Below are 21238 nucleotides of genomic sequence, written 5' to 3'. Positions count from 1 at the left end.
GTTATTTGCAGTGAAAAAAAAAACCTGTGTAAGCTCTCTAGGAGACTCATACTCTGACCCAAACAATCAGCCTCAATAAAGAGTTGTGCTTCTTTCCATAGTAGGATAATTGTATAAAATACATTTTGAAAGTCAGCAATTATTTATTTACATAGTATTTTGTAATGACTTCCAGAAATGTAATTATAATCTTTGTGTCAAGCCTCACAAGTGCTTTGAAGATCAAAACTGCCATGGGTGATACGATTGCAATTATAAAGACATGCAGTGGTTCGGGTCATATAAGGCTTGCCTTGTCACACCTTACCCTTGACTAGAATCAATGAGAAATAACTTTGGCCACCTCTGTGTACTGAATAATCTTTTAGAAACATGTAGGATGAAGTGAGATAATGTATAAAATCACCTGGGGATAGGAGTGCTACTTAAATACAGATTATTATATGATGAGGCCATATGTATCAATGTAAGTATGGTAGGAAAGGAGGTGTCTTCTGCACTGTAACATCACTAGACTGGTTTCTGAGACTAGTGCTGACTTTTATAATTCAACTGAATATGATTCAAACTCATTACCATAACATACACCTGTTAGTCAATTACATGGCAATAACTTCTCATTCAATTACAAACTTATATGTGCTCTTGTTGTTCCATTACAATATTTAAGGCTACCCAATGTTAAGGAAATATTTCCTGAATCATTGTATTGTACCTCTGAACTTGAAGACGTCTAGTATTATATCTTTCTCTGCAGTAAAGTAAGGATTGTAGGTAACATACCTTTATCATTTTATCTTATTTTGTTTATACCTTCCTTCCAAAAATGGTCTGAGGAAAACTACAAGACTATCTAATATAATATCACTGTGATTATTGTCATTTATTAACTTCTAGAATTGTTGCCATGCTTGAAAATTACTCAGAAGAAAGGATACTAATAAAGAAAGGTGAAATATTGGATTCTCTGAAGGTCTTTAGGTAGATTAAATCATGGTCTTTCTTTGGAATGGTCTTTTAGGAGAAAATGGAATTTCTTTTGGAACAGTTCTTTCTGGTGGATCTTTCTGGTTGTTTCTATTCCTATGATCCCTTGGAACACAGCATTAGCATGCCTAGTTAATTTAAGTGTAACTCAGCACTTTCTATTGTCTGACATAATTGAATCGTTATTTTCTCTTAATGCTTTATTGACTTTTTTGTGAATGGTTCCCAATTGCTTTTTGCTCTGTAAATATTCATTTTAAATCTACGAATAATAATAATAATGGGAAACATTTGAGGAGTTCTATGTGCTAGGTACTGCATTAAGTGCTTTATGAATGCCATGTGGGTATTAACTTATTTAGATAATCTAAGGGCTTTGTTTTAAATATGCCCTGCGGTGATCTATTTTCTGAAGGAAAAGTCCCCTTTAAAAGTTTAGATTTTTATCTAATCTAATTTGACTCACTTAACAAGACTTGCCTGTAAATTACATATGGATATAGAATTTTTACAAAACAATTTTAGCTTCATAATATCAGCTACAATCTATTTGGCACATATCATGTGCCAGGCCAGTTCTAAACACTTTATATGAAGTATCTCACTTAATCCTCACACCAACCCTGAAGATGAATATTGTATGCCTATTTTACAAATAATAAAACTAAGTTTCAGAGAAGTAAGAAGTTGCCTGATATATGTATGAGCTGGGATAAAAACCTGGGTCCGAACATCCAATCCTACTGTGAAGTGAAGAATTTTATTCTTTCTCACCCAAAATCATATGAGAATATTTTGTGTATCCCTTTAGATATGGAGATGAAAATTGATCAATGCACACAAAAACATAAACTGTTCTGGAAAGCATTTCAAAAAGAGACCACAGGACTGCCTGTAAACAGGGATAGAGGTTAGTATTTTTAGCTGTCCGCGTTATGTGGAAACAGCATTATTTGGCACAGAGCATTATGAAGACTAAAGGCACAGGAATGGACTCAATCCAAAGGACTTTATTTACTAAAGCACACAAACAAAAAAAAAAAAAACCCAAATTAAAAAACCCCTCATGCTTAAGTCTCACATGTAGGAGCCTCTAGGTCATGGACTTAGACATTGGGTTTAGATGTTGAGAGGAATCATAAGATATAAATTGTCTAACTTGGTACCTGGGAACCTATGAGACAGGCTCCCCCAAGAAGGCTCCCAGGACTAGTCCCCAGGGAATTAGAAATGGTGCACACTCCGATGACATGGTCCTTGAGTCCACCAGGCAGTGCTTGGGTGTGCAGGCACAGCCCCGCAGCCCAGGGCAAGGTCAGGTGAGTCACGGCTCCTCCAGTTCCCTGACAGTCCATGTCTAGTTGTTTCTTCCTGTTTCCCTACCTACATGCTGACAAGAGGGATTTTCTGTTCTCTTTACTGTTTATACAGAACCTCCCACCCTGGCACCATGTTACTTTACCAGTGACAACTCCAGAAATGTTAAGGGTTGGAGGAAAAAACTGGACTAAACTCAGTATAAACCAGTTTAAACCAGAGGCTCACTCCTACCTGTGGCCTAAGATAGATACATGGCTGGAAAATTAACCAGTTTCTGCTCCTGCCTCCCTACCTGTGAAATGGGAAAGGTACTGTTTTGTGGAAATGTTTTAAGTAACCCTCAGTAAAGTAACTTGAAATAATCTGGCTGTTTTCCGTTACACATGTACATGATAAACAATGACGACTACTCATTTATGCAGCATTTTTCCAATGTTATTTTCAATGGCTTTCCTGGTGAACTCACAGGAATATACCTCAGTAGGAAACTGCTGTAGTTAAGTGTCTCTAATGCTACCATCACTCCCTGAGGTTTTTTTCTTGTAGGTACTGCTAGAGAAAAAAACAGCAAAATCTGCTTCAGCCACAGTGGGTTGGGCAGATGGAAGCCCCAGGGGACCCCAAACAGAAGCAAGTTTGCATAAGTCTATTCTGTCAAAGTGTCCTTTCGGCCCTATGTAAAACAAAACAGCCTCTCAGTATGAAATGCAGAAGGAATAACCAGAACTAACTCAACACCATCAACATTATGCTTTTAATCCCGCATCAGCCTTCGTTATCCCCACTGTGCCTTACTCATCCTTTCCCGTACCTTTAATTAATGTTTGCCTGAAGGCGACGGTGATCCCAGGCAAGGGAAATGATAACTAAAATTCTATACTCTATACAATTCCCCAATACATACTATGTGATTCGTAAAAATGATAACAGGAGTCATAATGAAAAGTGGTAACATGGTTTTCCAAAAAACCTTGCAATTCTCCCTCCACCCCTCTTCTTTCCCTACTCACCCCCATGGGAGTCCATCTGCTGCAGAAAATGTGAGGCACTAGGACCAGAGAGCCCTTTCCTGCTATTTGCTTGAGAAACAAAGCCTTCCCTCCTCCCAAGTTGAAAGAAATAAAGGAGTCTGAACTAATCAAAACCCGCAAGCCTGCTGGTGGAGCTTCAGCTTGTCAGTGATGCAACTCAGCGGAGTGAGTAACGGCTTCGAGCTTTGCAGAAAATGAGAGAGGGAGAGAAACAGAGACAGAAACACAAAGAGAAAGAAAGAAAGGCATTAACCTGGCCAGGAGTCAAACAGGTGCAGGGGCCCGAACGCTGAGAAGAGTATCTGGCAAACGTGGGATCCAATGGGGTGTGTGCCTCTGTGGACGTACGTCATTGAGTGGGGACAATGTTTGCAGTTCATATGTCAGGGTGGACCAAGAGGTTTCTTTTCTTATTCATGGGACTCATATAGTCAGCTAAGGGCCTTTAACTTTTCTCTACTTGTCAGTTTGGAGTTTTTGTGAACACTTTCTGGCTCTCTGTGATGAATTCTCCAGGATAGAGGGGCAGCCAGGTCATCTGTCACACACACTCTCCCCATGGGCCACACATTTCTGTGGTGCCTTTGGAACAGAGGAATTGTGAGCACTGGGCTGCCGGGCTGCAAGTGACAGCAGCATGCATTATGTTTCACAGAAAGTCTGCCTCCTTCTTGAGTTAGCCACTCAGAGGCCACGCATTGTCTTTTAAGATTCTTCCAGGCCTCACAGCACTTCAAATGACTAGTTTCTGACAAAGATCCTAAGTTTGCAGGTGCTCTCTCTTGGAACTGACTAGCTTGGACTCCTGGGACTTATAAGCCTTTAGGAATGGAGGGCTGTGCCATCAATCTTGTTTATAGGCAGATGTTACGAAAAGAAAGGAACACAAGCAGAGGAAATCCTGGCATAATACCCTCAGGAAAAGGCCCTAGTTATGAGACAGTGCCCACCAAATGGGATACAATTCAGCAGGACACTAACTGGGCGGCATTAAATACCATGTTAAAAGTATGCCATCTCTAGCGGATTTTCAGTCTCTTGACTTAAAATGTTCCAGTGTTTGATAACCCCATAATTCAGAAGATTTAATTTGCCAGTTGTCATTCCCTTGCCCACATGCCTCTAATAGAGAGTCACTGTGAGCATGGATGAGACAGGCTCAGCCCATCCCACTCCCCCCGACCCCTGTGCAGGGATGGATTTTTAGTTAAAGCACGGTCTTTACCTGAAATGCGCCTAGGCACATCGGTGATGGCAGGAAGCCCAGTGCCCCGTGTGGAAGACAGCGGGGTGGTAGAGTGGATGGACGGGGACGTCATCTGGCTCAGGTAGGAGGGGTAAGACTGGTCATAGGACCACGGCGGGGAAGACTGTGCCTGCCTGGGGTCTGGGAAAAAGAAAAAGAAAAATCTTTAGTATAGCAACCATTGCAGCCTTAGAAACATGCAACCCAAAACTCAGAAAGGAAAAAGCAGAAAAACAGGGAGAGAAAAAAAAATGGCTTATATATATATAATATATAAGGAATGGCTATTTATCTCTTATAACCCCATCCTTTCAGGCCTTAAATAGCACAAAGCGTTCTAGACTTTGAGTCTCAATGAAAGCAACAAAATGGATGATGCATAAAGACTATTTGTCTCTCTCTTCCAAATATTTCAATTTCGAAAGTCTAATAGTCATTTAGAAAACAATCTGCTTTGGTTATCTTTACAAAGTGGAATTATATTTATTTTCTGTATCTCTAAAATTCCTCCAGTGAACATGGATAACTTTTTCTAAGTTAGAATATTTTCTGAACAATTAACTTGGTTAAAGACTATGTAGACTGTGCCTTTCGCTGCTGCATATCCAGCTACTTACTATCTTTCAGACATGCTTTTTGGTTTTAAAGTGCATGATTCCATGATTTCATCTCAGGGCACTTTCTTTTCAGGCAGGTCAATGGAATGGCCCTTTCTAGCATGGGGTGAAGGGAATAAGGGCAGGAATGAGAATGGAGGGGCAGCACGTAAGATGAACAGGAAGGAGGGAAGCCAGTTACGTTACTCTCATGCTAAAGCTAAAACAGAAAATAACCCGGAAGAAAAAGACAAAAATTTAATTTCAAAGTCAACTACCATTAAGAACTGAAAAGTTTCATCACCAGCCAGTTTCAATGTTAAGCACCATAGTTTCTGACAGTAAGAAAATGCCCCAAAACAGGAGAACGGGGAAATGTTTTTAATCCTACTGGAATCTGTTTAGAAGAAGTCACATGTCTGGAATTTGGCCTAGTGTTACCTACAGTCATTGTAATAATAAAACTAATGGGCAGTCAGCTGTTTAGGTTTAATTGCTGAACATTAACAATATTTTTTGATGTATCTCTAGGAGTTTCTTGGAGGTACAAACTCAAGGCCACATAGATTTATTAAAAGACCTTCTGCTTATATACAGAAAAAAAGGTAAATGTGCTGTATGTTTCCAAAGCAAAAAAAGTATGTATTTCAAACTCTTTTGCTCTTACTTGAGGGCTAATCAAACAAAATCATAACCAAATTTCTCTTAACACGTTTTTATGCTAATTTTTAAATTATGTTAATTTTTAAAATTCTAATAGACCAGGCTGTTCACAAGATAGCTTGGTATCTTAGAATATGCACGGACTTTGGAATGTTCAGAATTAGGTCCAAGTTCTGAGACTTCTTCTTTCTGTGTAACCTTGGCTTAATTACTCAGTCACTCTGAGCCTCAGTTTCCTCATCTGTAAAAGGTGAGGAAGGAGGGGCAGCAATAATACCTGAATCATAAGGATATGAAAATTACAGGAGAAAACGATTAAGAGAAAACTAGCACAAAATAGACTTAATAGGCATTAATTATTTTATATACATATATATATTAAAAAAAAAACTCTGGGTGACATAGGGTAAGTTCCATGTTTCAAACATATCTGAACTGGAGTTAATACACTTGGAATAGGTTTCAAATTATCCCTACACATCACCTATTATTCTTTGAAAATAAAAACTATTAATATACTTGAACAGTTAATTCAGGTTTATCTCTAAAAGTAAAAATGAGTATAATAAGATGCGGATTTTTAGATCATTCCTCCGTTAAAACCTCTCAGTTTTTCTATACAGTCACAGCAGTTTAGTTCAGCTATTTCTTGTTTATTTGTTCAATTCAGAAACAATTTATTTAAAGATTGTTTAAATAGGACATACTTCCTTGAGTCAAAATAATTAAACACACCTGGATATTTATCGGATGTTTACTGACATTGACATATACAGAAAAATGTCATCCAATTCAATTTTAAAGAACATTTACCTGAGTTTGCAATTTGAATAAAAAAGCAGTACTATAAGTGGTTAACAAACTTTTCCTTCAGAAATCTAAAGGATAATTGATCATTAAAGTAACGGGCTTCTGTGCCTTAAAATTCTCAAGGCCGAGATTGTAGAGATTGGCAACATTTCAAATCTGAGTGACTGGTCCTTGTTATATATCTGATATTGACATACTTCCTTGCCTTACACCATTAATGTAATTCAGTATTCAGAGAAACGGTAAATGATCTTCAGATGGAAAAAGATTCATTCCTTACAGCACAGGAAAGCAGTCTCGCAAGGGCAAGTCCTTCTCTCAAGCAACATTTTCAAAAGACAAAGAGGTTGAGAACCACATAGCTAAATAAGTTGGGTACACAGGACTCAAATTTGGATTTGAGTTCTCATCTAACTTCCCCAGATGACTTCCTGAGCAAGCAGTTTAACCTATACCATTCCTCTCCTGCAACAAGTCATCCGTCTAGGGCCCCCTGCCTAAAAACAAGAACAAATACAAAGAAATGTAAAAAATGACGAAAAGGAATTAGGGTACTCAACCTGGATGTAAGATACAGTTCTCCTTGTGCAGAAAGGCGGCTCAGTACAGTGGGAAACAAGTGGGCTTTCTAGTGAGAGGATCTGAGTTGGCGTGCCAGCTCCGCTATTGATAAGCTGTATGACCTCATCTGGGTTAGCTAACTCTGAATCTCAGTTTCCTCATCTGGAAAATGAGGCAGCATAATACAGAAAAGTGAATATAGTAAAGTGGTCACACATCCTGGCTGTGCAGACAAACCTAGGCTTCAGTTAAACCTCCCTGCTGTGCTGAGCATATCACTTAAACTTTTAGGCCTTGGTGGCTCATCTATAAAATGGGAATAATGATACTTATTAGGGTTTTTGTGAGGATTACATGAACTAGGCCATGTCTAATATGGTACCTGGCACTCTTAGCACATATTAAGTATATAATAAATACAAGAGCTATCTATATAATGAATACAATAATAAATACTCTCATTTTTGGAAAATGAGATAATGCAAGTAAAAGCATTTTGATAACTATAAAGTACTACAGAAAAACTATTTTGACTCTCTTTAGGAGCTCACATGGTGAAGGCCCTGCCTGAGCCTTGTGACCTGGGCTGTGTTTCTCAATGTTACTGAGCTTTAATTTCCTCATCTGCAAAATGGAGATGATAATACTATCTCAAAGAGTTGAATCCTCAGACTGAAGATTAAATAATATATGGTAAATGGAAAATCATCATTATTAAAAATAAATATTAAAATATGACTCTATGCTATCTAGGGTAGCTGGGTTTGTCTCATGTTGTTATTCTTAAAGACTTCCAAGATCAGATTCAGCATAACTAAGTATAATGCCTTGCACATAGTACTCAATAAACAACTATTGAATGAACCTTTCAGGGTGGCTTGAGTGAATAATAAAATATTAAAATTAAGTCATAATTAGTAATTCTCTAATTTCTCTTTAAGCTACCAAAGAGGTTTATATCGTGAGGTTTTAGGTTTTACATCCTGACTGCCAGAATATATACTAGAAAAGTCTGTTAAAGGATAGTTTTGCTTTTAGTGGAGGCCTTTCCAAATATCCAAGATTAGGAAAAGTAAGTTCTCAAGATCCCTAAACAAGTCAGAAGATCTATCTTTGTCTTTTTGTCTCTCAGAGGATAGGCTAGAGTCAAGCCAGTCTCTTTCAAGGTCACTGTCCTAAGAGTCTATGAGAATGACTTAAAGAAAGAGTTACTAAAGAAAAATAAAATAGGCCGGGAGCAGTGGCTCACACCTGTAATCCCACCACTTTGGAAGGCCAAGGCAGGCAGATCACCTGAGGCTGGGAGCTCAAGACCAGCCTGACCAACATGGAGAAAGCCTGTCTCTACTAAAAACACAAAATTAGCTGGGCGTGGTGGCACATGCCTGTAATCCCAGCTACTCAGGAGGCTGAGGCAGGAGAATCTCTTGAACCCAAGAGGCGGAGGTTGCGGTGAGCCGAGATCACGCCATTGCACTCCAGCCCGGGCAACAAGAGCAAAACTGCATCTCAAAAAAAAAAAAAAAAAAAAAAAAAGGAAATATAAGAACTGCCATATGGGGTTATGGGGTTCACTAGATCTAGCATAAAAAACAATTTTAAAGAGGATAGCAACCTTTTAAACAAAAGCCATGGTCTCCAAACACCCCCATGCCTTCTCTAATACCTTGTGAATGAGTGATTACCAATCCAAGCTCCACCATTTCCAGACTGTGTGATTGGACAAATTACGTATCTAAGATTAAAGTTTCCTCATCTATAAAATGGGAGTAAATAAGAATATCTCCTTCATAAAGTTGTCTGATGATTAAATGAGATAATATAATATAGAGTTTAGCATATGGAAAGAACCTGATAAATGTTTCCCACAGTTAAAGACTCTATCTTACTGAACCTTCATTTTATATTTGTTTCTAGCCCTTGACCTCTTTTTCTGGCAGAGTACAATTTTTAGGAGAGCTTCCTGTACCGTGTAGTTCACAATTTGGAGCATATATGTCCGTGTTAGTCACGTTGATATCCTTTTACAATGGCTTAACCTTAATCATGTTCTTTCTTAAGTTTTGGTTTCTTCCCAGAGAAATCCTAATTTTTTAAGTGTATTTTCAAATACTGTACACTTTAACCTTTTCAATCTTTTAGTGGGGAAAAAAATGGCTGTAAAATGTCTTCACTTCCTAAATGCGCAATCACCAAGAAAATATAATCCTGTCATAAATACATGATTACAACATATTTGCTTTTTATGGACAATTATTAGTGCTTATAGTAGAGGAAAGTCACCTTAACCTGATCTCATAAACAATTTCTGAACTCAACTTCCTGAAGAAACCTGAGACTTCTGAGATTTACTCTCAAATTGGATGAGTCAGAACAGGTGATAGATGTTTTTCAGGCATCATCAGTCAATCCTAAAGTTACTAATAGGAAAGATACAAGGCCTAGCTCTGAGACAAACCTACTAATTAACGACAAACAAGAAACTGTCTTTATCTCAGCCTCAGGTCCCACAGAGCAAGGATAATCCATCCGTCACCCTGCCTCACCCAGAGTTATATTGGATGGTGTGTCTTTTCAAATCTACAGAAACATGGAGGGAAGAACCATGTCCTAACACTCCAGCATAAACACAAATATCCTTGACTTTTAATCATGGCCTTAAGGTGACACCCTGGCTGACTGCAGTTATAGGTCAGCCAGAGTGTCACCTCAAAGCCATGAACTACCTACAAGTTTTCGGGGGCTAAATCAATGCTATGTCACAGAAAGTTTCCAAAAAAAAAAAAAGGAAAGAAAACTGTTGCCAGGCACGGTGGCTCAGGCCTGGAATCTCAGTACTTTGGAAGGCCAAGTTGGGTGGATCACTTGAGCCCAGGAGTTGGAGACCAGCCTGGGTAACAGGCTTTTGTAGAGACGGTGAAACCCCACCTCTACAAAAAAATACAAAAATTATCCGGGTGCAGTGAAACATGCCTGTGGTCCCAGCTACTCTAGAGGCTGAGGAGGGAGGATCATTTGAGCCTGGGAGGCACTGAGTCACGCCACTGTACTCCAGCCTGGGCGACAGAGCGAGACTTTGTCTCAACAACAACAACAACAAAACTGTTGTTGAACTTTAAATATTTTTATGTTTTTTTAAAAACTATAATTCATTCTTTTTATATGGCAATCTTCAGAAACAGTATCAATATTATTTTAATTACTATATTAGAGAAATTCAACAAATTGACATGTTTTTATATGGATATGATATATGAACAACCCTCTGGTGTTGGGTTTTTATGCACTCACTCTTGAGTGCTTGGGAAATCTGAGGCACTACGTATCACTAAAGATGACTCCACTCTTATTTCTCCACCAACTTCTCTCCTGCCACCTAAAATAGGGGGTCTTAGAGGGAAGTGGTAATCAAATCTGACCTGTAACATAAACTTGAGAGAGAAAATCAGGTCTTTCCTATCTGATGGGTCTGCTGTACTCACAGACAGGATGTGATTGATCAAAATGACTACATGCGAGAGAAGAGAACAAAGCAGAGGACCAGGGCTGCTCCTGCGGGCCCTGAGGATGAACCCAGGAAGAAAGGGGTCCCCAGGGCCGAGAAAGCACACTAAGAACCACCACCAGGAATAAAGGGAAGGCTATTTATTGGACCCCTCAGATCTGCAACAACACATTTTCAGAAGCAATCATGGTTTCCTCCGTGAGAGTAGACCAAATCTAGCTATTAAGAGTTCAGGTTAATTTCTCTTTTTCTGTCTAAGGTAGAAGCCACTGAAAGCCGTAAAAAGGAACCAGTCATCTGTCATAAGGAATCCCTTCAGCATGTGTTTCAACCGAGGCAAAGTCTGTCACAAGCATGGAATTGTGTTTTTAAAAACGCTCTAAAGATGGAAAGGAACCATGGAGCACCAATGTCAGAATCGATTTTATAAGTTCTCCTTCTAGGGTGGTGTTCCTTCAGCTTAGACTTCTTGGAGAGTGGTTGCATCTGCTTTCCATCCTATAAACCACAAAACATAAAAGCACAGAAGGCAAAACCGTACCCAGGGGGTGCTCAAAAATGCTAGTTGGGAGAGGGGTGGTTCCTCTGTCTCAAGTTGCCTTTCATCAGGCAAAAATGGAGACAACCCTTTATGTAAACCTGTGGAGATGAGGAAAGCAAACAGTCTTTTTTGAGCAGGACCACAGCTTCTGAAGTACAATCACTGGTATGGGGAACAAAAAGGGGGTGGCTATGCACTTCCTACAGTGATATAGAAGAGTCATGAGCTCTAGGAGTCTCCATACTTTCAAATGACTAAAAAGCCAAATTTCGCATCTGCATAATTGAACCCTAAACACTTGGAGTTATATTGAGAAGGGAGGAAGGCAGAAAAGAAAAAAAAAAAAAAAAGGCATCCCAGGAAAATGAACTGACTCCGGGAAAACATATCCAATTCTCTTCTGAATGAGTAAGTTTGAGTGGGGGCAGCAGAGCAGGCAGAGAGCTTTCTGAAAGCCCAAAGGTATGCTGGAAACAAGGCAGCTGCTATTAGCAAGGCTCCTTTTGTAAACACTTTGGTTAAACATGTGTGGGTGTGAAGGAGGATCTGCTTTCCTAGGAATTGCTCACAACAAGGCACACCAGGGACAGGGTGCTGAACTTGATGCAGACGGGAGGAAACAAGTCAATGGGAGCAAAGCCTGAACCCGCATACAAAAGGCTATTTCCTGTTCCTGCGGCCAGCAGGCTTCTGTGTAACAGGACACCATGGCAGCCAGTGATTCTGCCAAAGCTGTCTGCAGGGAGTACCTGCCGTATTGGGGCAACAAGGTATAATCAAAGATCCCCACAATCCCACCCCTTATTCTCCACCCATTTTCCCCCTAAACAGTACTCAAATCAGGCTGTGTAAACCTCAAATATTTCTTGAGAAAACTGGGGTGTCAAAAATGATATACAGAGTCTACTGGCTTAGAACTATGCCTCTTAATTGCTACCAGGGTCAATCATCCTAACACAGAGGAGCAGATTTGCCATTTCCTATCTTAAACTATTTCTGTCATATTACTGTCATTCATAATACAGACATACTCACACTTATACATATACACATTCATACATACAGAGATTCCCATTTCAAAACAATCTACACTAAATATGAAATGTTAAATTCTATGTCTTTTCTAATAACCCTGTCAGCAAGACTGGAATTTTAGAATGAGCTTTCTTCACTCATTTCTGGTTCTCTTGACTAACAGGAAACTGTTTACAAACAAATGGCCTCCTCCAAGCATAGGAAGAGCCCTAGACTGGAGGCTCTGGCACTAACTGTGCAGGCTTGGACGAATAATTTATGGCCTCTGAGTCTCACTGTTTTCACCTGTAACATGGGAATGGGTGGGTTATCTCTAAGATGTTTTCCAGATACAAAATGCTATGATGCTAACCACTCAGAAGAGTGAGCTCCCAACCCTCAGTCCTTTCTGGAGACTGTAACTGCATCAGAAATGACTGAAGCCATGCAGAGCTGACTTGGGGTGGCTATGAAAGGTAGCTGACAATGCAGCGCCTCCCATCACAGAGCATCTGGCTCATGTCTGCTGAGAAGCCCCAAGAGCAAGGTGCGGACCCCCCTTGTCCCCACCAAGGGCCTTCTCCAACTGATCTGGTGGCTACCAGAATCATCCAGCAGGAGACAGACCCGAGTGACAGAGTCTAAAAATGAAATCTGAGAAAAAAAAGCAGCAAACTGGTTAAAACTGGAGGCTATGTAGGGTACACCAGGCATGACCATAGGTTATATTACAACACAAACAATGGGAGAAGAGAGAATTAGTAAACTTAGAAGACAATAAGCAGAGAAGAGAATGAAAAACGATATGTATGGCCTAAGATATCATATCCTGTAATAAAATGTTAAAAGAAAAACCAGAAGGAAGTTGCATTGTTAAGACAAGGTGATGAGAAGCACTCTTATGTATCACCAACTTTTGCTAGATAGGGATCATAACTGTCTTACAGAAAAGGACAGGCATTTCTTGTTTTAAAAAAATCTAATAGAAGAAGAAAGAGGCTATACCACATGTCATACCTGTCCTGGCCTCTCAGCCTTGGCATATCCTGAATCTCAACGGCAAAGCTAGAAGAGGGAGAGAAATGAGATACAAAAGGGTGGGACAAGAACTTGAAATGCCACTGAGATGTGATGCTGGCAAGGGAGAGTGGCCCTTAGTTCGAATCATAGTATTGAACTGGGTGTGGTAAATTCAGGTTCAAATCAGGCTGATGTCAACATCCAGGAAATCAGATATGGGCAGTCGGGGTATTACAGAAGGTCCCCAGGCATGGTGATACCTGATGTCACATGGATGATTATATCCATCGTTCTAGTAATTGTCTCTCATTCATTCATTCAAAAAAATATGTATCAGGTATCTACTCTGGTATTGTGTAGGCACTTGGAATATTAATGTTGAATAAAAATAGACCTAATCCCTGGTGCTATGGAGTTTTATGACCTAATCCCTGGTCCCATGGAGTTTTACAGTTGGGTAGGAGAGACAGGCATTAATCAAATAATCATATAACTATGGTAAATGCTGAAAAAGAGATGTTCATGGTACCATAAAATGGGAACTCCAACCACATTGAGCATCAGGGAAAGCTTCTCTAAGGTAGTAAAGATCAAGCCAAGACCTGAATGACAAGCATAAGTCTAGAAGATGAGTAAGGGAGGTTAAGAGGGCTTTAGGCCCGTGTCCAGTTCCTGGGAAGAAGGCAATATCATTTTTTTATGTACTTGATAGAAGGCCTGTGTTTAGAACATTGTGAAAAAGTTTCAAAATATTGTGAGATGAGAATGGAGAGCAGGCAGGGAGGAGCCAGGCTGTGCTGACCCTGCTGGGCCATGCTAGACATTTTAATCTTTATCCTAAATGCAATAGGTCACCTTAGAAGATGTTTAGGTATAGAGTGACATAATCAGACATGCATTTTTAAAATCTCCCTCTGGCAGCATCCTAAAAGAAACAGGGCAGAAGTCCAGTCTAGGACCAGGCGTGCAGGAAAGGGTGTGGAGAGAAAACAACAGCTGGAATGGACACAGGGGTGGAGTCCAGGGGCTGCACTCAGGCTTCGGGCTCTTAGCTGCCTCCACACATCAGCTGATCACGGGGGCGAGGCTCCTGAGATGGCCTCAGGCTGGATCAGGATGAGTTCTGGATGGGTAAGGTGAGCCTTGAGTAATAGGCCTGCCTTGGGCCTACAGCTGGGAGTGATTTGGGCCGGCTCCACCTCACACCTTCTAATTCAGCGGTAGAACCTGGGCATCTGTATGTTTAACAAGCTCCCCAGGTGATGTGATTATGTGCCAAAGTTCAAGAACAATAGGCATAATTTTTATTAATGAAAGTTAGAAAGGAAAATTACCGAACCCTATTTTGATTTAATCTTCCCTATCAAAAAGGATGATCTTACATAGAAAGAGCAGAACAAACGTGCATAAGAGGAAATTAAGGCCCAAGAGAAGTGAGGAGATAAGGGAGAGCAGTGTGCTGCTTTAGATGAATTCAAGTCTCTGCTCCAAGATAAATGACATCCCACAACATGGCAAAAATGTAGGTAACTAGTACTCAAGGGGCTGCTTCTTGATGGAGCAGGGTCTAAAAAGTTTTTCCTTAGATTAAGTAAAATATGCCTCCCTATAACTCCAATCACTACTAATCTTAGTTTTGCTCTCTGGGATTACTACTCCACATGACAGCTGTTAAATTACTTGAAGATAATGCCTTTAAAGTTTACGACACAAAATACACTAGGTTTTACATTCCCTTATTCCATTTATCTTATTCTGAAAACAGCATTGCTATTGGTAAAATCTAAGTTGCTGAAACTAAGTTGTTTTGGAGCCACTGTTGGTGTTGACTTGCTTGCAGCCCACTAAAAACACTTTCAATAGCCAGTGTGCAAAGAACTTCTCACACTTCATCCCACAGTGACTATCAGAAAGCAGAATGGGCTCACTAAAAAACTGTCTCCTAGAATTACTAAAGCAATAGATTAGAAGGCAGCTCATCTGTCTATTGCATATCTGGACCTCAGCAAGATATATGCCTTATCTCTAAGTGATTTATAGCTAGTTAAAAAGCCTGCCAGAAAGTGGTCATTAATATATAGATTGTGGTCAGTTTAGACAGAGTTATATGGTGGCATAATCCAGGGCACAATAGTCTTATTTCTGTCCAGCATCTTCACCAAAGTCTTGAAGGATTAGAAGGGACCTTTCCAAGCTTCAAGATGAGACAAAGTTGTGAGGAATAACCCAACACAACAGAAGAAGAATCAGAACTACAAAATAACCCTACAGGATGGAAAGAGGAGGTGAAAGCAACATGATGAAATGAAATAAGAGCAAAAGTACAGTGCTGCATTTTGTCAACTACAAGACAGGATGGGGGAGCCTGCTCCAAGAGCAGAGTTTTTCATGGACTGACAGCCACAGTGTGATGGGATAACAAAAAGTTAACACAAACTTGGGATATATTAACAGAATATTAGTAGACCCCTACTGACCTGGTCAGGCATAGCTAGCGGATTGTGTTCTCAAGAGGCAGCATCAGGCTAGAGCACTGGAGAAGACAGGACAAGGTGTGGGACCTCTATCGGTCACATGAGGAATAGCTGAAGAATGGCTAAGAGCGCCCATCTACCTTCAACCTCTCCAGATGACACTCCTTCCCCTTCCCACCTGAACGAACACACGGATTTCCCCGTTAAATTTCCCTCTTAACCCTTCCACTCAGCTGCTGCTCATTTTCCCAGTCCAGATGGGTCAAGTCCTCTTTGGAAGTTCTTCCATCTACCAACCTGCAGGACATTCCCCCACATGGGAAACTGGCTCAACATCTTCCTTGTTCCCCTGTGTTGTACTGAATCCTACCTAGTCCTAGCAGACAGACGGTCCACGACAGCCTAGCCCACTCCTAGTCACAAACTGTAACCACTGTGGGAGAGAATCACATAATCATGCCAATTGGCTCTTCCCATGACCTCTACCTTCAGCTGGGTCCTCAAAGATGCTCATCCAAAGTCATTTTCCATTCCCACCATTCACCCTGGCAACAGCGCCAAACATTTTTCATTCTAAATCTTTCCCCCTACACCTTCACCCACTCCCCACCTAAAACTATCTGTCAGGTTTCACCTTCCTAAGACACAGATTTCCAATTTCAGCTCTGAGGATTTCAGAAATCTCCTAGCACCTCAGTTTTCATATTCTCTATATGGATCACAATCTGATTCTTCCGTTAAATCTTGTCTTTTAAAGTCTATTAAAACCAATTGTTTTAAGCCATTAAAAAGCAAGTCTTTATTACAATAAACAAAGCCCTAAAGAGAATCTGATGCCTCTAACTGGGAGTAGTGCCATACAGTTATATTCCTGGAATACTTTCGCATACATTAAAATGAAAACACTTTTTAGACTGATCATATCTATAATATATTATTGTTGCTATTAATACTGCACAGTCAATGTACACCAACTCTCTGTGTGAAGCCCTGAGATATGTGGAAGCATATCACATAAATAATGGATATGTGAAGCATATCCATTATTTAGTGTGAAAATATACCACCAGGGCATCTTTGCACAAAGCGCAGGCCTAACTTGCCCCTCTGCTGGGTTACCCCATAAGTTAATATTTCCTTCAACATTAATCTCCTATTCTGATCCTTTTGCCCATAGTCCATCACAAAAGGTAAAACAGGGCAAAAAAGGACCCTAAGCAACTAATAAAGGGGACAGGTATGCATACACGTGGGTGTACATATATACGTACATATACATATGTATATAAAACTAAAACTAAATATAAAACTAAAAGAGAAAGATGATGTGTTGGAAAAGAATAGGAGAACAAAATCAAGACTTCCTCTGCATGGAGAGTTAAAGACAGGCTAGAAATGGAACTGTTTTGGGGGAAGAAGGATAAAATGAGGCATTATATAGGAGATGAACCCTTCTTATCACAACTAAGTGTTAACTATGCATCTTATATTCCCAGATAGGAGAAAATTACAAAGACAATTTTTTGAAACAAAAAAATAATTTTTCTGGGAACATCACCCTCTCTACTTTTCTGAAAGCGTACTAAAGTCAGACCATCTTCAGTTAATAAGGGAATGCCAACAGACAGAAATCCAAACAGAGCACCTTTAAGAAGCTCATCTGTGGATACTGCTAACAGGCTAAGCAACAACATAACGGGTTGACCACCAGCCCTTCACAGAGTCCTAGGAAGCTTCATTCTTTAAAGCCAGCACAGGCTGCACCTAAAGTCTACTCTTCCTCATAATGTGGCCACCAGAGCAGAATCAGTATGAAATAGTGTTTACACACAGGATTTGAGCCCTTTCTAAAAATAAGGATTGTGACTAGCAACCTCCTGTACAGATTCCCTGCTCACACATGTGCAAGGCAGCAGCAAATTTGCCCAGCTGCCCCACCTGAAACATCTCAAAGGAAGAAGACAGGGCAAAACTTCCCAGGAACTTCAGAAATTACAACACTGCACCACCAAAGTAAAAAAGAACCACTTCCAACAATCTGTCTTTCAATGCAGTGACTTCAGTTCCTTGACACAAGTTGCCTACAAGTGAGCAGGACCACAGTGACTGTGAAGTCTGAGAATTCACTTGACTCCCACTCTCCTCCATACCCACACTGATGGTACCCTACTGTCATTCTTCCTGCTCACCAACAGTATCTGAGCCTCTTATGGGTCCATCCACCCTCACACTCACAGCCAACATCACCCCAGGCCCACTTCATCTCCCAACTTGTTTCACATTAAAGAATCATGTGGTCACTCAGCACTTGAACAGAACAGTAACTTAAGACACATGCAACTCAGCTGTGCTTTCTGATTTCTGAAAGGATTACACTAGTAAATGTTTCGGGACAAGCACTAGAATCCTAGGACAGCCAAACATATACACAGCCTAATTCCAGCTGGCCTAATTGGCTGAGGTCCCCTTAATTTTTAAAGGAGTTCTGTTTGCTGAGGGAATACAGAATCAGACTGAAGTTAGGTGGAAACCACTTCAGTCACAGTAACTGCTGATAAGATTATTATTAGACAGGATGTCTGGCAAGCAGTTTTTACCTTAAATACATGCCTTATATAACTGGAATTTAATCATTTAAATGATTATATTGAATTTTAAAGTATAATTCAGATATTCCTAATGCTAACTCCCGTTCATGAAAATATTCTCTCTAAGTATCCTAAATAATGTATAATGGACAGAAGAAAAAGAAATTAGTCCTGCAGGACACATGTCACTTAGATTGTTGGCAACAAGCCCAACCTATCTTGATAGGGATGAAGGTGAGTGCTTGCTAAGAATCAGGAACTCACAGTCAACTGCAATAGCTGAAGTAGCCTTCAGCAAGTCATTTCTCCAAGAATCAATTTCTTCCATCTGTGAAATATGTACCTTTAGAATTGTTTTAGGCCTTTGGTTTGTAAATGGTAAAGAACTGAATAAATGAAAGTGAGGTACAGAAATGGGAGGAAGCTGAGCCATGATAAAAGTACCTTTCAGCTTCCCAAGAGTACTTGGTGGTAAGTACACAGGGCCATGGAGCTATGGAGAGCTGCCTTTACTTCCTGTATTTACCACTTACTAGTAGTAAGTGGGACCTTGGGTGAGTTATTCCACCTGTCTACCATCAGTTTCCATAAGAATGCCTCCTATCTCATAGAGCTATTGTGAGGAACGTATGAGTTAAACTAATTAGAACAATGCCTGACACATGACAAGCATTTAATAAATGGTAACTAATAGTAATTCAATCAAACAGACACTAGAAAAATATTAAGGCTAGGATAATAGTGGGTCCCGCCTCCTGAAGAGGTCAGTGACCCCATTTATTCACTGATCACCGAACCAAAAGTCACGTAGTAAGCAGGTACCGTGTAAGACAATGGGGGACACAAAGATGAAGAAAACATGGCCCTAGACTTTGAAAAGTCCAAAGTCTGATGGAGGAGACAGACATGTGAACAGTAATCATCAGCACATGGAACAAGATATAATCAAGGGTTGTACAAGGTGGCACGGGAGCCTGATTCGACTCTGCTTGGATAGGTTGGAAGAGGCTTGACAGAGGTGGCAGCATTTGATCTGAGTTTTGAAGAAACAATAAAAATGTGTTTGGAAAAACAAGACAAGGAAGAGTGTCTAGGCAGAGAAAAAAGCATGAAATACAATAACATATTAATTTAAAATAAAAAAATAAGTGAAACTTCAAATGAATTGCTTGTACATTACAAAAGGAGAAAAAGTCACAATAAATAACATGATGGACTATCTAGCAGCCTATGCAGAAGTGTCCAGAATCTACTCCTGAGTGAAGGGCAAATAGGGGTCTGAACCAAGGAAAAAAATATCCTGTGCACTTCCTTCCAGCATTTACATGCAGGGAAAATCAACTTTCATTGACTGCTTAGAAAAACAACCAAGACTCAAAAGAACCAAGAGCTGCTTTTAAAAGAGAAAGGAAATCATGAAAGGGAACGCTGCAACCTAGGAAGAATCATGAGAAGGGAAGCCCCTTGGGTGTCTGCAAAGGCAGTTTTACAAGCTACTGTAGGAGTGAGAATGTCGAGTCTCTTCTTTCTTAGTATCTTCTTTTCTCCACCCAACTGCTTCTCTGAGCTCCCCAGCCCCACTCCACCTTATCCTCCCTGAGTCTTCCCCACATCAGTGAATGGCACCACCATCCTCCAATTGCCCAGGTCAAAACTCTGAAGTCCTGTTTTCCCTTCACCATCAGCGAGAGTTGTGAACTCTCTATTAAAAAAAAGAGAGTATTCAGAATCCTTCAGTGTCCTTCCACCTCCACTGCTACCACCATTTACTCTCTCGAGCTACTGTAGCAGCTTCCTGAACATAATTCTGCTTCTTTGTTTAGCCCCTTATGGTCCCCTCAAACAGCATCCAAACAGGTTTTATTATGCATGTAAATGACATAATGTCATTCCCTTGCTTCACATCCCCCACTACACTGGTAGCCCACTACAATCAGAACTAAACCCAAGCCACTATTGTGGCCCCCAAGACTCCCCATAATCTAGGCTTTGCATGAGTTTCCTACTGCCTGAAATGTCATTCCTCACAGATCTTCAAAGCTTTTCAAAGGACCTTTTCTCAACTTTCCAATCAAAATTAGCTCCTTCCCTCTCCGAGTTGTTACCTAGCAATTATCCTATTTCATTTTCTCATAGCATTCATTATTATCAGACATTATCTTATATGTATGCTTATTTACCTATTTATTGACTGTGTCTGACACTAAAATATAAGCTCCTTGTGAGCAGAAGCTGTGTCTCTCTCACTCACTTGCATCAATGCCTAGCAGATAATACGCACTCATTAAGTATTTTTTGAATGAGTGAAAAACAGAATAGCAGTACATCCCCCACCCTAAAAGCGAGATGAATGTCCCAATCCACCAAACCCAAGGGCCTGAATCAGCATTATTTTTTAGGTGTAGCGGACCCATCTAGAGGATAATGAGTTTAAAGATATCTTAAGCGATATCTCCCAACATCATATCCTTACTCTATTGCTATCGCCGCTTTCTGAATCAAAAGAAGTGAACATTTGTGACAGACTAGGTGTTTCCTGGCACCTAGAGACAAGCAGCAGATGTCTGAATGATAAGAGGTCTAGAGGAAGCAACTTCCCCAGGAAGCTGTGGGGAGGCCCTGGGCCTTCAGCTGAACATCAGCCATTAAAGACTTCCACAAAATATCACCATCAGACAAGCACTGCAAAGATACCAGGGAGGGAATACAGAATCAGACTGAAGTTATGTGGAAACCACTTTAATTAGGTTCTAGCTACCACATGGCTAGAAGTTTTGGTCCTAGGAACTGCAAGAGACACTGGAAAAGGCTAACTATGAAACACTAAATGCTTATGACTTCCTCAATTTATGATTGCTAATTTCACTTCACTCTTCTGGGAG

The 21238-nt window shown here is 40.2% G+C and overlaps 1 protein-coding gene across 4 annotated transcripts in view, besides 1 other annotated feature; it reads right to left on the bottom strand.

The window, feature by feature from the left end:
- Positions 1–21238, bottom strand: part of RUNX2 (RUNX family transcription factor 2) — a 222753-nt gene that overhangs the window by 34112 nt on the left and 167403 nt on the right. For all 4 annotated transcript variants that reach the window (NM_001024630.4, NM_001015051.4, NM_001369405.1 and 1 more), the window contains one exon: positions 4564–4725. In NM_001024630.4, coding sequence (NP_001019801.3) covers positions 4564–4725 — 162 coding nt within the window. The remainder of the gene's footprint in view (positions 1–4563; positions 4726–21238) is intronic.
- Positions 11725–12019: an enhancer, noted in NCBI's record as "tiled region #695; HepG2 Activating non-DNase unmatched - State 21:Repr, and K562 Activating DNase unmatched - State 8:EnhW". NCBI's record gives its function as "activates a minimal TATA promoter and a strong SV40 promoter by Sharpr-MPRA in HepG2 and K562 cells {active_cell/tissue: HepG2 | K562}" and the evidence as "EXISTENCE:reporter gene assay evidence [ECO:0000049][PMID:27701403]".

Source organism: Homo sapiens, chromosome 6, assembly GCF_000001405.40.
Source record: "Homo sapiens chromosome 6, GRCh38.p14 Primary Assembly".
Taxonomy (NCBI): Eukaryota; Metazoa; Chordata; class Mammalia; order Primates; family Hominidae; genus Homo; species Homo sapiens.
The sequence above is the reverse complement of the archived record's forward strand: the minus strand, read 5'-3'. Positions and strand labels throughout refer to the sequence as shown.